At 42.3% G+C, this 15,385-nt stretch overlaps 1 protein-coding gene across 9 annotated transcripts in view, besides 3 other annotated features; it reads right to left on the bottom strand.

Annotated features, from left to right (window-relative positions):
• DPY19L4 (dpy-19 like 4) overlaps positions 1 to 13,600 on the bottom strand; it is a 73,937-nt gene extending 60,337 nt beyond the window's left edge. For 6 of the 9 annotated variants that reach the window (NM_181787.3, XM_011516983.4, XM_017013351.3 and 3 more), the window contains exons 1-2: positions 13,486 to 13,600; positions 7,059 to 7,169 (exon numbers count right to left, since the gene is read on the bottom strand). In NM_181787.3, the coding sequence (NP_861452.2) occupies positions 7,059 to 7,169; positions 13,486 to 13,501 (127 nt within the window). In that variant the 5' untranslated portion in view covers positions 13,502 to 13,600. Of the gene's footprint in view, positions 1 to 7,058; positions 7,170 to 13,263 lie in introns of those variants that run through there. The other 3 variants (XM_005250894.5, XM_047421714.1, XM_047421716.1) reach the window with 2 other exon arrangements.
• Positions 13,473 to 13,792: a silencer, noted in NCBI's record as "silent region_19368". NCBI's record gives its function as "represses an Ori minimal core promoter by ATAC-STARR-seq in GM12878 lymphoblastoid cells {active_cell/tissue: GM12878}" and the evidence as "EXISTENCE:reporter gene assay evidence [ECO:0000049][PMID:35858748]".
• Positions 13,473 to 14,507: a biological region, named in NCBI's record as "NANOG-H3K27ac-H3K4me1 hESC enhancer GRCh37_chr8:95731221-95732175".
• Positions 13,553 to 14,507: an enhancer, noted in NCBI's record as "NANOG-H3K27ac-H3K4me1 hESC enhancer chr8:95731221-95732175 (GRCh37/hg19 assembly coordinates)". NCBI's record gives its function as "activates a minimal SCP1, AML or CMV promoter by ChIP-STARR-seq in primed H9 embryonic stem cells {active_cell/tissue: H9 hESC(primed)}" and the evidence as "EXISTENCE:reporter gene assay evidence [ECO:0000049][PMID:30033119]".

Raw genomic sequence — 15,385 nt, 5'->3', positions numbered from 1 at the left:
GAAGTTCTAAGATCTGTGTCACAACATAAATATACTTAACACAATAGAACGCTACACTTAAAAATGGTTAAGATGGGCCTGGCACGGTGGCTCACACCTGTAATCCCAGAACTTTGGCAGGCCAAGGCGGGAGGATCACAAGGTCAGGAGATCGAGACCATCCTGGCTAACACGGTGAAACCCCGTCTCTATTAAAAAATACAAAAAATTAGCCGGGCATGGTGGCAGGTGCCTGTAGTCCCAGCTACTTGGGAGGCTGAGGCAGGAGAATGGTGTGAACCCAGAGGCAGAGCTTGCAGTGAGCAGAGATCATGCCACTGCGCTCCAGCCTGGGCGACAGAGCGAGACTCTGTCTCAAAAAAAAAAAAAAAAAAAAAAAAAGGTTAAGATGAAGCTAAGTGTGGTGGCTCAGGTCTGTAACCCCAAAACTTCCAGAGGCAGGCAGATTGCTTGAGCTCATGAGTTTGAAACCAGACTGGGTAACATGGTGAAACCATGTCTCTACAAAAAATACAAAATATTAGCCCATGTGGTGGTGGCGGGTGCCTGTAATCCCAGCTACTTGGGAGGCTGAAGCAGGATAATCGCTTTAGCCCAGGAGGCAGAGGTTGTAGTGAACCGAGATGGCAACACTGCATTCCAGCCTAGGTGACACAGCCAGATCTTGTCTCAAAAAAAAAAAAAAAAAGAAAGAAAAAGAAAAGGGTAAGATGGTACAAAAATTAGTCTATGAATATTAAAAAGTAATCCAAAGGAATGTATGACCCAATATCAAAAAAAGTACAGGTTCATTCAGAAATTTTTTTTTTCCTTTCAGGATTTTTTATTCATTGAAGAATAACTAACTATAAACCTAAAGCCATGTAAAATGTACAACTCAATAAGTTTTGATTATCATGTTTTAAAAGATCACATACAACTGTTATATATGGACACAAACTATTTCTTTTTTAAATTTTATTTTATTTTTGTAGAGACAGGATTCTTGCTATGTTGCCCAGGCTGGTCTTGAAATCCTGGTCTCAACAGATCCTTCCACTTTGGCTTCCTAAAGTGCTGAATTACAGACATGAGCCACTGCCTCCAGCCTGTAACTGCTTCTTAATGAAATAACATAAGACACATTTGGATTTTGTATACAAAAGATGATTCAGTCTTGCTACAGCCATTGAGTATAATAAGCATAATAAAAAAAATAAGGGACTAAAGGCCTAAAACCCAGCGTTCTGTTACCGAATGACTGACAGTAAAAATCAACTTGTTGATTTTTTTTTAGCTAAACTAAAATTTTAGTTATTTTTATAACATTATTTAATACATAATAGTTTGCATAGCATGTTGCAGTTGTGCTGTTATGCAAACTAGTATAGAGTAACTAATTAAATATCAATAAATAATCATATTCTAAATGTTTGAAAAACACTCTGCAGGCCGGGCACGGTGGCTCACGCCTGTAATCCCAGCACTTTGGGAGGCCGAGGCAGGCGGATCACGAGATCAGGAGATTGAGACCATCCTGGCTAACACAGCAAAACCCCGTCTCTACTAAAAATACAAAAACAAAATTAGCCAGGTGTGGTGGCGGGCACCTGTAGTCCCAGCTACTCGGGAGGCTGAGGCGGGAGAATGGCGTGAACCCGGGAGGCAGAGTTTGCAGGGGGCGGAGCTTGCAGCGAGCCGAGATCGCACCACTGCACTCCAGCCTGGGCAACAGAGCGAGACTCCGTCTCAAAACAAACAAACAAACAAACAAAAACACTCTGCAATAAATCCGATATTAGCACCAATATGATACAAGTGTCACACCTGTAATCCCAGCTTTTTGGGAGACTGAGGTGGGCGGATCACCTGAGGTCGGGAGTTTGAGACCAACCATGGCCAACATGGTGAAACCCCATCTCTACTAAAAATACAAAACTGGCTGGGTGTGGTGGCGCATGCCTGTAATCCCAGCTACTGGGAGGTTGAGGCAGAAGAATTGCTTGAACCCGGGAGGTGGAGGTTGCAGTGAGCTGAGATCACACCAGTGCACTCCAGCCTGGGCCACAAGAGCGAAACTCCATCTCAAAATAAAATAAAATTTCTGTTACCAGTAGCATGTGTAAAGCATCTGGCATGGTTCCTGACATACAGTTAAGAGCTCAGCAAATATTTGCTATTACTATTATGCTACACAAGCATACCTGAAAAAATATATGAAATCATTAAAGCAATGTTGAGACAATATGAACTATAAAAACTAGTAAGAAAAGTAATCTAGGGTGGCAGTTTGGCAAAAGCACTTAGAAATTTCTAAATGGATTTCTTGGGTTTGTTTTTTTCATTAAGGCTTAGACAATGACAAATTAATCCTACTTATCAGGAACTATTATAAAAAGTATATTCAACCAATTTCTATATATAAATGCCTAACCTTAATACTAATTTTTTTTTTTTTTTTTTTTGAGACAGAGTTGGCCGGGAGTGGTGGCTCACGCCTGTAATCCCAGCACTTTGGGAGGCCGAGGCTGGTGGATCACCTGAGGTCGGGAGTTTGAGACCAGCCTGGCCAACATGGAGAAACCCCGTCTCTACTAAAAATACAAAATTAGCAGGGTGTGGTGGTGCATGCCTGTAATCCCAGCTACTCGGGAGGCTGAGGCAGGAGAATCCCTTGAACTTGGGGGGCGGAGGTTGCGGTGAGCTGAGATCACACCACTGCACTCCAGCCTGGGCAACAAGAGCGAAACTCCGTCTCAAAAAAAAAAAAAAAAAGAGACAGAGTTTCGCTCTTGTTGCCCAGGCTGGAGTGCAATGGCGTGATCTCGACTCACTGCAACCTCTGCCTCCTGGGTTCAAGCGATTCTCCTGCCTCAGCCTCCCGAGTAGCTGGGATTACAGGCATGTGCCACCACGCCTGGCTAATTTTGTATTTTGAGTACAGATGGAGTTTATCCATGTTGGTCAGGCTGGTCTCAAACTCCCGACCTCAGGTGATCCCCCCACCTCAGCCTCCCAAAGTGCTGGGATTACAGGCACGAGCCACCACGCCCAGCATTACTAAATATTTTACTTTTGTAAGGAGTCAAAGATGGAGTAGACATCAAGCTTTCAGTGTTTGGAATAAGTACATGTATTTTAGAGAAAATAAGGAGCTCTGGTTCCTGGTCTCAAACTCTTAAAATACAACCATTTTAGTTTGAAAATCAAAAAGTAAAGGATCTGACTTTAAGTTGTTAGTCACAAACCAGCCTAATCAGATAACTTCTATGTGCCCCAGTCCCTTCATTTGTAAAATGGTGATCAGGCACACAAAATTAAAAACAGATTATGAAATGTCACTATCAGAATATAGAACACAGTTAAGTAATATTTAATGCACATAAAAAAGCCAATGATATGTTGAGAAAAAAATGCAGGATTCAATTTCACAAAAAGTGAAAAAAAAAACTATAAGTACATAGAAAAAAGCCACACTTATGCCAAAATTTTAAGAGTATTTATATCTACTGAAATTATGGATGCAGTTTTGGTTTTTTTTTCTCTACTTTCCACATTTTCTACCCTGAAAATATATTTTTGTAGTTGGGGAGGAAATACTATTTTGTAATCGATATTTCTAGACTATTTAATTTTCTTTCTTACGTTGTATTTTTCAAATTTTTTAACTTTTTTGTTTGTTTGTTTTTTGAGACAGAGTCTTGCTGCATCGTCCAGGCTGGAGTGCAGTGGCGTGATCCTGGCTCACTGCAAACACCACTTCTCAGGCTTAAGCAATCCTCCTACCTCAGCCTCCCAAGTAGCTGGGACTACAGGCATGAACCACCACATTCTCAGCTAATTTTTTTTTTTTAATTTTTTTGTGGAGATGAGGTCTCACTGTATTGCCTAGGCTTAAATTTTTTTTTTTTTTTTTTTTTTTTGAGATGGAATCTCCTCTGTTGCCCAGGCTGGAGTGCAGTGGCACATTCTCGGCTCACTGCAATCTCCACCTCCTGAATTCAAGCAATTCTTGTGTCTCAGCCTCCCAAGTAGCTGGGACTACAGGGGCACACCACCACACTTGGCTGATTTTTTTTTTTCTGATTTTTTGTAGAGATGAGGTCTCACTATATTGCCTAAGTTTAAATTTGTGTGTGTGTGTGTTTTAAGACGGAGTCTCACTCTGTCACCCAGGCTGGAGTGCAGTGGCACAATCTCGGCTCATTGTGACCTCCGCTTCCCAGGTTCAAGCGATTCTCCTGTCTCAGCCTCCCAAGTAGCTGGGACTACAGTTGCATGCCACCATGCCCAGCTAATTTTTTGTATTTTTTTAGTAGAGACGGGATTTCACCATGTTAGCCAGGATGGTCTCGATCTCCTGACCTCATGATCCACCTGCCTCGTCCTCCCAAAGTGCTGGGATTACAGGCTTAAGCCACCGTGCCTGGCCTCCCATTTCTTGATTTTAACTTTCATTGGTTGAAAAAGACAAACAGCTTTTTCTTTTTTTTTTTTCTTTAAATAAAGACAGGGTCTCACTATGTTGTCCAGGACGGTCCTGAACTCCTAACCTCAAGCAATCCTCTGCCTCAGCTTCCCAAAGTGCTGGGATTACTGGCGCGAGCCACCATGCCTGGTTAATAAACTGTTCTCACTTCAACATTACAAGTCCCAGAATTTTGGGATTCTCTATTTTCTTCTTTATTCCCACTTACAAATAGTCCAATTCTATTCTAAACCCAGATCTCTTTCCTGTAGTCAAATGCAGATGTTAATAACAAAGGCACTCTAGTAACATTCTGTTTTGCAATCTCATTACCTAAAATGATAGAAAAAAATAGTATTGTCAACTGTTCACAGGAAACAGTATTATCAAATGTTTTGTCATGATATAATATAGATCTTCATTTTTCCAGCTCCCAAATATAGTTTTCTTGCGGCCAGCCCCTCACCTAGATTTGTAGATTACCCACAGCTTTTATCTTGAGCAAATTTATATATAGGCCTCAACTTTTAGTGCAGAGCAAGCAATCTGAGAAAGCTGTTTAGCCCTTAAGGATGACACATTCTCCAAACCCATCTTTAGATATGGTTATAGAGGAAAATGGAAGAGAAAAGATCTCTAGAGTGTAAAATCAAGGACCATGGAAAACAATGAACTGGAAAACAATTCCCCAGGAACACAACTGGGGCATAAACACAACAGATTCCTTATCCCAGAGTAAGGGGATATCCTGTCCCTGTCCAACAGTGTATACTGAGAGTGGGGGGATGTGCAGAAAAGAGTTAACACAGCAGGCCTGAGACCGCTTTCCTGAGAAAGGCCTGCTTGCAGGCGGATCACCTGAGGTCAGGAGTTGACCAGCCTGGCCAACATGGTGAAACCCCGTTTCTACTAAAAATACAAAAATTAACCAAGTGTGGTGGCACATGCCTATAATCCCAGCTACTCGGGAGGCTGAGGCACAAGAATTGCTTGAACCCAGAAGATGGAGGTTGCAGTAAGCAGAGACCGCACCATGGCACTCCTGCCTGGGTGACAGGGTGAGACTCTGTCTCAAGAAAAAAAAAGAAAAAGAAAAAGGAAAAAAAGAAAGCCCTGCTTGCAAGGTAGGCTCTCTTGGCTGGCATCTAGGAACTTCAATTTCAGGAGAGTTCCCACCATTCTCTAACTGATAACAGTGCCTATCCTCTTTGTACAAACAATGTAGTTTATGCTTTCTTTCTGGGAGTCAAGAATTTTGGGACATGGTAGGCAGAGGATACCTACATGACCAGCCCCCAGTAAAAACCCTGAGCACTGAGTCACTAATGAGCTTCCCTGGTAGATAAAACTTTACAAATGTCACAATTTGATGCTGAAGGAATCAGGCCCATCCTGTGTGACTCTGTTGGAGTGGAAATTTGGAAGCCTATGCCTGGTTTCTTGCAGATTTCACCAAAATAGGCCTTTTCCCTTTGCTGATTTTGTTTTATATTATTTGCTATAATAAATCATAGCTGTAGGCTGGGCACGGTGGCTTATGCCTATAATCTCAGCACTTTGAGAGGTTGTGGCAGGTGGAACACTTGAGGTCAGGAGTTCAAGACCAGACTGGCCAACATGGTGAAACCCCGTCTCTACCAAAAATACAAAAATTAGCCAGGCGTGGTGGCATGTGCCTGTAGTTCCAGCTACTGAGGAGGCTGAGGCAGGACAATCGCTTGAACCCAGAAGGTGGAGGTTGCAGTGAGCTGAGATCGTGCCACTGCACTCCAGCCTGGGTGACAGAGCGAGACTCTGTCTCAAAAATCAATCAATCAATCAATCAATCAATCATAGCTGTAAATACAACTTCATTCTGAAACTTGTGAGTCCTTCCAGCTAATAACCAAACATGGGGGTGTTCTGGGGAACCCCCGACATAAAACAGATAACCTGTCTTTTTAGTTCATAGATCTCTGGATTAGAATGAGTCATAGCTGGCCCTGATGTAGATAAGCCTTTGGGTTCAAGATTAAGGCTGTGACTAGATAAGAGAGAGTTTTCGGGTGTGGGAAAAAGTAAGCGTATTTTGTCTGAGGGAGAGAAATAAATCACAAGGACAGGGTGTGGTAAACTATATTATTATTCACAACTATTTTCTCCTTCCCTTTAAAAATCTTATATATCCCTGCCCACTACCATGTGACCTGGAACACTTCCCTGTAATCAAAGTATACTTCACATCCCATCGTCTGAATTGATTATATGACTTGCTTTGGCCAATAAAAGGTGCGTACAAGTGATAGTGTGCCAGGTCAGCAGAAACTTTAAGAGACATTGCATGATTCTGCCTCCTCTTTTCCTACGTCACAAGAAAAATCTTTCCCAAATACGGACTATTCCTTCGCAACACATAAAACTACGACAGCCAAACTGCAGCCACAACATGTAATATTAATTAGAAATAAATGTTTGTCATAAGCCAGTGAGATTTGGGGGTTGTCCAAAACCTAGTGAAAGCTGAGCATATACTTAATCTCAAAATATGTATATTTAAAATATTGACATAAAATATACTTTCTAGTGTAAACTATTTTTGTAGTAGCACAAATTCCAAGTCTATCTAACTTACGTTTTGGAGCTCTTTCAGGAATTGGAATGTCACTGATTTTCTCTTCTTTGGCAGATTCCTTATTTTCTGAAGACTTTGGCTTTTTTCTTTGGCGCAGCTCTACAGGTGGTCCTTAAAATATTTAAGACATTATTGCAATGTGTGTATAAAATTGTTTTAATCTGTATCCTGAGCCAATTAACCTTTATTATTCTAAAGCAAAAGTACCACTAAGACCTATTAGTATCAAAGATAACCTTTTCATAATTATTTTGGCACCCCTGCAAAATTATCTTTTGTCTAAAAAAAGACAATTTAAGTTCCACTTCCCAATCTGTGTTTTGACAATCCTAATAGTAAACCAATGTGCTCTTCTCCCAAGATGATGGAATTTTCAAAACATCCCAAAATAAGTAAGCTCTTTTCCAAACTGGGGGTCAAGGTGTTATTCACCTCATAATTCTAGTTACCTTAAAGTATCAAATGCATAATTTATGGTTTAACTGTTCTTTAAAAATCAAAACATAGCCGGGCGCTGTGGCTCACGCCTGTAATCCCAGCACTTTGGGAGGCCGAGGTGGGCGGATCACGAGGTCAGGAGATCGAGACCATCCTAACATGGTGAAACCCTGTCTCTACTAAAAAAAAAATACCAAAAAATTAGCCTGGCATGGTGGCAGGCGCCTGTAGTCCCAGCTACTTGGGGGGCTGAGGCAGGAGAATGGCGTGAACCCAGAAGGCGGAGCTTGCAGTGAGCCGAGATCGTGCCACTGCACTCCAGCCTGGGCGACAGAGCGAGACTCTATCTCAAAAAAAAAATCAAAACATAATACATTCATCATAAACTACACTTCTGTTTTTAAATAACCCTAAAAGTTCTGCAGAATTTCAGTGCTGTGTTATCATTAGCATTGTACAATCTTATAGATTTAGGTATTAGAAAATAGGCTGAACCTACAAAGATACCTATATATGAGAAGGTCTCAAAATAATTTCCCAGGATTAGACTATCTTCCTCTTCTAGCTCCAGTTTCAGAAAATGTGATGCAGAAGTTACCTCCAAACTAGTAAACTAAACTCCAAGATGAACAGGAATGTACTATATACAATTTATACTTTTCCTCCCTAGAATTAATCATCTTGTGGGATAGATTATGATACTGTAAGTACAGAGTGTTCCTGCCAAGTTATAAAGTGATACAATAATTTATCTTTCTCATGGAAGTGGAAGACAGTTTTCTTCCTTTCTCTTAGTAATAACTTCAGGCTATGAAATGTGAAAATAAACATAAAAGTCAAAGAAGGAGAAATGAATCAGTTGCTGCTGATCAGATGGATGTTCTCTAGCTTTACTGTGGAAAATGAATAAAATAAATGTATCTTAAAATAGCTTCATAGCAAACTTGTATGTTCACTAAAATATCTTTAAACACTGGCATAGTGATAAAAAAAAAGCTGTACATTTAGTGGATTCAGACTGATGAATCTAATGTTTACCCATTTCTATACTACCATTTATTCTGTAGTCATGTTAAGTAGTGAAATCAATGAAAATATTTTAAAATGACATTATTAGGCCGGGTATGGTGGCTCACACCTGTAATCCCAGCACTTTGGGAGGCCAAGGTGGGTGGATCACCTGAAGTCAGGAGATCGAGAACAGCCTGGACAATATGGTGAAACCCTGTCTCTACTAAAAATAGAAAAATCAGCCGGGTGTGGTGGTGCACTCCTGTAATCCCAGCTACTCAGGAGGCTGAGGCAGGAGAATCACTTGAACCCAGTAGGTGGAGCTGCAGTGACCCGAGATCGCGCTACTGCACTCTAGCCTGGTGACAGAGGGAGACTCCGTCTCAAAAACAAAACGAAACAAAACAAAAAAAACAAAAAATGACATTATTAGAAAAACATACCCCAGACTTTGAGTATTTCTGTATATAAATCTAGGTCAATTAGTAAATATTACTATATTCCTTCCTCATTATGCCTCTTTAATATTCCCCTGCTCTAGGTTAAAGTAAAAGTTAGAAGCAGTCAACAAGAACGCATATTTATGCAAAATCAAATATAAGTCTTCAAAAGCAAATTATTGTTTTTAATTTTATTTTAAAAGAATACAAGGGGAAGATATAACTACAAGAACTTTCCTTTGCAGGTACACCTGCATGATTAATCACGTAATAGCATTGGACTTTAAAACATTTAATTGGATAATTTCAGAAGTCAAATTAACAAATCTATTGAGATAGTCAACAAATATACTATATGTGACCAATGGGCTAGGTAGGTGGGTCTTTTCCATTAGAGTCTAAAAATACACACTTAGTGATAAATTGGGAGGGGAATAGTCACATAAAATGTGTTCTTACAAAAAATTATCATTTTCCTTTTTAAAAATGTTCTTTATCAAATAAATCGCTTTACAGGACTTTAATTAAACATGTTCTCTTTGTGTCCATAAATGATTTTTGTTTATAAAAGTACAACTTACACAAACATTTTGCATAGATTTTCAAGTAATTTATGAAGTATACAAATCTCAACAATCATCTCTCAAGAACTTATATTAGCAATGATCAAGGACCATACAAATATGTAATCTATAAAAGATCTATAATATTATATTTTCCTGATTCTAAGATGCCATACGTTTGAAGATACTACTTAATAGGTTTTTCAAGGGGAAAAAAAACCACACTGTCATACTGAATGTGTGCACTGATTTTAAGACATATCAATTTTAGTGGCATTAAACTGTAAGAGCCAAAAGTACGACTCGATAAATACAGTATTCATTTTAGCTCATCTCTTCAACCTTATCCCTAAAGCTAACTTTTCATATAATTTCATAATGGAAAAACAAAGTCACACATCTCTAGGTGGAAAAAAAGCAAAGGCCAAAGCAATGGACAAATGAGATTATCAGTTCTGACAGGAAAGCTCTGCGATGTAATTCAGGTTTCCTTTTCACTATCTTTTTTTTTTTTTTGAGACGGAGTTTCACTCTTTTTGCCCAGGCTGCAGTGCAGTGGTGCCATCCCGGCTCACTACAACCTCCGCCTCCCGGGTTCAAGCAATTCTCCTACCTCAGCCTCCCGAGTAGCTGGGATTACAGGCATCCGCCACTACGCCCAGCTAATTTTTTGTATTTTTAGTAGAGACAGGGGTTTCATCATGTTGGCCAGGCTGGCCTCAAACTCCTGACCTCGTGATTTGCCCGCCTCGGCCTCCCAAAGTGCTGGGATTACAGGCGTGAGCCACCACGCCCGGCCACTCCTTTTCACTATCTGATATTTTTAGCATTGTAAAGAAAAAGTCAAACTAAATGAAGATGATTACACATCCACAAAAGTAACCTGCTATTTCAGACTTCAGTCCAGTCATCTTCATATGAAACAGTAGGGCTACAAACAGACTTTCAAATGTCTATCCAGGCTAGACATAGCAGTTTCCAAGTGAAATGTTAATACTGCTCTACTCAAGGTTGTCACTTCTTTCTTTGCTCTAACATTGCGTTCAGAAAGCATAAATATAAACACCCTGGCCCTCTACTGCATCAAGGAAGACATTTTTTTAAAGACCAGATTCCCAGAGTATTTACTTGGACAATGAAGAGGATCCAAGTGAATGTGAATGGTAAGCAAGATGGGACGCGGAGAACACCTGGATACAAGTAAAATACACAGACTATTTAGTCTAATTTTAACACAGCGAACAAAAGATAATACGGATTCTGGGGGAAAAAAAGTATAGAGTGACAAATAAACATAAAACACTCAGAATGCCTGGCACATAGACAGACAGGTTTGCTATATGTATTATTATTACTAGCATTATAATAAATGAAAATTTACTCATTCATTGTTGACTATTATATCCTTGCATCTAATAGGGTATGAATACACATATTTATGGAATTAGAAATGTGTTGAATAAAGCAATATTTTAATAAATTACAACCCATTAATTGTCCCATGTAAGATGTATTTAACTGCTTTTGAATTATATGTAATTCTACAACCAAAAATCATTTATCATTTTATTTATTTTATTTTTGAGAGGGAGTCTCACTCTGTCACCCAGGCTGGAGTGCAGTGGGGCGATCTCGTCTCACTGCAACCTCGGCCTCCTGGGTTCCATCGATTCTCTTGCCTCAGCCTCCCGGGTAGCTGGGACTATAGGCATGCGCCACCATGCCCGGCTAACTTTTGTATTTTTTAGTAGAGACAGGGTTTCACCATATTGGCCAGGCTGGTCTCGAACTCCTGACCTCGTGATCCGCCCACCTTGGCCTCCCAAAGTGTTAGGATTACAGGCGTGAGCCACCTTGCCCGGCCTTAATTTTATTTTTTTTTAGATGGAGTCTCACTCTGTCACCCAGGCTGGAGTGCAATGGTGCAATCTTGGCTCACTGCAACCTCCGCCTCCCGGGTTCAAGTGATTCTCCTATCTCAGCCTCCTGAGTAGCTGGGACTACAGACACTTGCCACTCCACCCGGCTGATTTTTGTATTTTTAGTAGAGATGGGGTTTCACTGTGTTAGCCAGGCTGGTCTCGAACTTCTGACTTCAAGTGATCCACTCGCCTTGGCCTCCCAAAGTGCTGGGACTACAGGCATGAGCCATCATGCCCCGCCCATTTATCATTTTACATCACGTAAGTAAAATTTACAAAACGGTACAATCTTTTAATATTGGCTCCACAGATCTATTTAAGTACAACCATAGTCTAAAATAATTTTTCATTTTGCATGATGTATTAAAGACTTTCAGTATTGTAGTACTGATTTTTTAATGCAGTCTTAACTTTTTTAATGCTTTAAGTTAAGCATGAATGTACTCATAGGAACCTACAAGCTAGTATATCAACCTACCCCCATAAATTTGCAATTAGAAAAGAAAAATACATCAAGAAATATTTCAAATGATGATATACTGTAACCACAGACAGAACCAAGTAAACAAATGGAATTACATTCTTTCTCACCAACGACAAATAGCTTTGTTTTTGAAGCTGTTTTTAGTTAGAATGTCTTAAATTCAGACCAGCTTTAACACTCTGAAAACTCAATGGAAACAAATATGAACCAAGCCTGCATAGGGACAGGTCAGCAAGTCACACATCAGTAAACACTTCTTATGCTTAATTTTTAAAAATTGCTTTCCGCTGAATCCTTTAAACTCCTTCCTTGCACTCTTGATTCAGAAAGGCTTGAGTCGGCTGGACCCGTGGCTCACGCCTGTAATCCCAGCACTCTGGGAGGCCGAGGTGGGCGGATCACCTGAGGTCAGAAGTTCAAGACCAGCCTGACCAACATGGAGAAACCCCGTCTCTACTCAAAATATAACATTAACCGGGCGTGATGGCGCATGCCTGTAATCCCAGCTACTAGGGAGGCTGAGGCAGGAGAATCGCTTGAATCCAGGAAGCGGAGGTTGCGGTGAACCGAGATCGCGCCTTTGCACTCTAGACTGGGCAACAAGAACGAAACTCCGTTTCAAAAAAAAAAAAGGCAGGGGGGCTTGAGTCTAAATTAGATCGATTTACTATCACATCCACAGCTCCACTCATAAGGTAAAAAGTTGTGTTTTCCACCAGAATGCAAAAATCTAATTGCTTCTCACTTCCTGAAACTAGTAGGGGTTATCATGAAGTTACTATGCCATGAGTATTCCTTGTATTGTTTATCACTAACCGATAAGTTTCATCTAACTTCCCATTTTTGTCTCATACTTATCATTTTCTATAAATAAAATACTGCTGAATGAATTACTTATCTTAGCATTGATCCTGAAGGCGGCATGGAAACCTTTCTCCAGCTCACCCACTTTGACCCTCAAAGGCCTCCTGGCCTCATCATCTCCCAAAACTATAATAATTAGATGGCTCTGCTCTTTACCATTTTCCCCTGAACCTAAGTGAACTTGGCTTTCTTCAGTTTCTGCGTGTTCGCCCATTCCCAATTAATCTTGCCACGTTTATCCCAAATCCCTGCCTCTTTATCCCCGTGGTGAATGTTCCCTCGCCCCCTGTGCCTCTGGGTTTGTCAATATCCACAGCCCTTTAAAAATCGCATTCCAAATATGCACTGAGTACCTAAACCTGATCTTCGAAACCAAACTGCGCCTCCCACTTCACCAAGAATCTGATCAGGACCCTCCCTCTTTCCCAACCACTCCCGGCACAGCTTTCTCTCTTGCTACGGATTCCCAACTTTCAGCTCCACCTTTGCTTCCCAATTCGGCCGACAAAACTTCGGGCCATTTGCTCCGCTCTCCTGAATTTCTCCGCAGTCCTCTCCTGGGCGCCGCGCTCCTTCCCGCCCTGCCCGCGCGGCCGCCACCGCGACCGCGGCCACCAGCAGCTCCAACCCAGACCTCCAGCGCCCCCGCCCCTCCTTCCCGAGACCACTGGCAGCCGTTGGCGCGCTGGACCCCGCGGCAATCACCTTCTTCCTCCGCCATCGTTTCTGCGAAGGCTAGGGCGCCCTGCGGCTCCCGCGCGGCCCAGACTCTCCCTCCCTCCGCGTCGCCGAACCCCTCGGCCTCCGGGGGCCCGCTCCTGGCCGCCGCGCCCCCACTTCCTGACCCACCCCCCTCCGGTGTCGCCGCCAACCGCGTCCCCGCAGGCGGCCCGGGAACCAGAGTGTTGGGAGAGGGGAGCGGCCGGAGCGTTTCGCTGGGGCGCCGGGGCCTGCGCGGGCAGGAAGGAGACTCCACGCCGGGAGTGCAGCCCACAGCTGTAGCTCCTGGCCGCCGCCTGCCCTGGAAAGCGAGACTGGTGGGTCTCGCTGCAGCCCCGCCCCTCGTCCTACTCTTCCCAAAAAGTGAGGGCATGCTTTCCGCCACTTTTGTGACTCCGCGACTTAGCGAGTCAGAGACGATCATCAGCGACACCTCCCAGGTCCAGCCTCCATTCCCGCCCCATTTTACATGGAGGAAACTCAGATCTAATGTGGTGGAAGTCACAAAGCCGGTCAGAGGCAGAAGTGGAACCCGGTGCTCCAGAACTGCCATCGCTGCCTGCGTTCTCGCTGGGATTTCAGAGTGCAGCAGCAAAACGTTCTCAGTTGGCGCTTTGGTTTCGTAGGCCACTTGACCATTACAAGAAAGAAGCTTGTGCTTGGAACTTGTTTTAAATCACCAAAACTGGTTTAGCAAATATGTTGCATTTCATGATATTCTGGGGGGGGGGGCGGGGAGATAATACAATGGTCTGGGGTAGAGCAGTGTGCAATTAGATATTACAGAGCAATAGGGAATAATTTTAATTTGTTAAACTGTGTTTAACTTTCATTATATCTAGCATTCTTCAACAAACACCGGGATCTTTTCCCCAACAGTACTCAGAAGTAAATTTAGTAAATGAAATATACCCATTTTAGATCGGGAGAAACAGGCACGAGAATTCACTGAAGTCATGGGGTAATTATGGACACCCCATTATTAGCAGGCAGCAAGATTCTCCTAATAGCACCTTTAAGTTAGGATATTTGGGGAGAGGCTATCATTTTTCAGTGATGTGCAGAAACGGTTCCAGGAACTTTTTTTTTTTTTTTTTGAGACAGAGTCTCGCTCTGTCGCCCAGGCTGGAATGCAATGACTCGATCTAGGTTCACTGCAACCTCCGCCTCCCAGGTTAAAGCGATTTTCGTGCCTCGGCCTTCCCAGTAGCTGGGACTACAGGCGCAAGCCACCACTTAATTTTCATATTTTTAGTAGAGATGGGATTTCACCATGTTGGTTGGCCAGGCTAGTCTCCAACTCCTGGCCTCAAGTGATCCGCCCACCTTGGCCCCCCGAAGTGCTGGGTTTACAGGTGCCCACCACCACGCCCGGATAATTTTTTGTACTTTTAGTAGAGAAGTGGAGGGGTGTGGTTTCACCATGTTGCCCAGGCTGGTCTTGAAATCCTGACCTCAAGTGATCCACCGGCCTCAGCCCCACAAAGTGCTGGGATTACAGGCATGAGCTACCACGCAGGGCCTCCAGGAACTCTTTTTATGTCTGGTTCCCCGTAAAGATGTTTTTTGCCTTAAAACAACACTTTACCAGGAGTTAGAAACAGTGGACCAGAAAAGGCCTGGTGCCAGAGCCAAGAGAGCACAGAATATAAGGACCCTGAAAACCACAGGATATGGTAGGGTCCCTGGACATGAGCAACAGTACCTGAGTATGCTGCTTATCAGATCAGCTGACTGAAAGAGCTGCACCTCTTGGAAAACATATAGTAGCTATTGAGGTCTGCTGTTTTCTAAGTCTAGAGTCTTAATATCCTACAGTTTCTTCACGGTCACCTCAAGTTGACTAATGGACTAAATTTTAAGTTTGCCTGACCTCTACAATAAC

The sequence above is a fragment of the Homo sapiens genome, chromosome 8 (genome assembly GCF_000001405.40).
Source record: "Homo sapiens chromosome 8, GRCh38.p14 Primary Assembly".
Taxonomy (NCBI): domain Eukaryota; kingdom Metazoa; phylum Chordata; class Mammalia; order Primates; family Hominidae; genus Homo; species Homo sapiens.
Note: the sequence above shows the minus strand (reverse complement) of the source record. Positions and strands in the feature narration are given on the sequence as shown.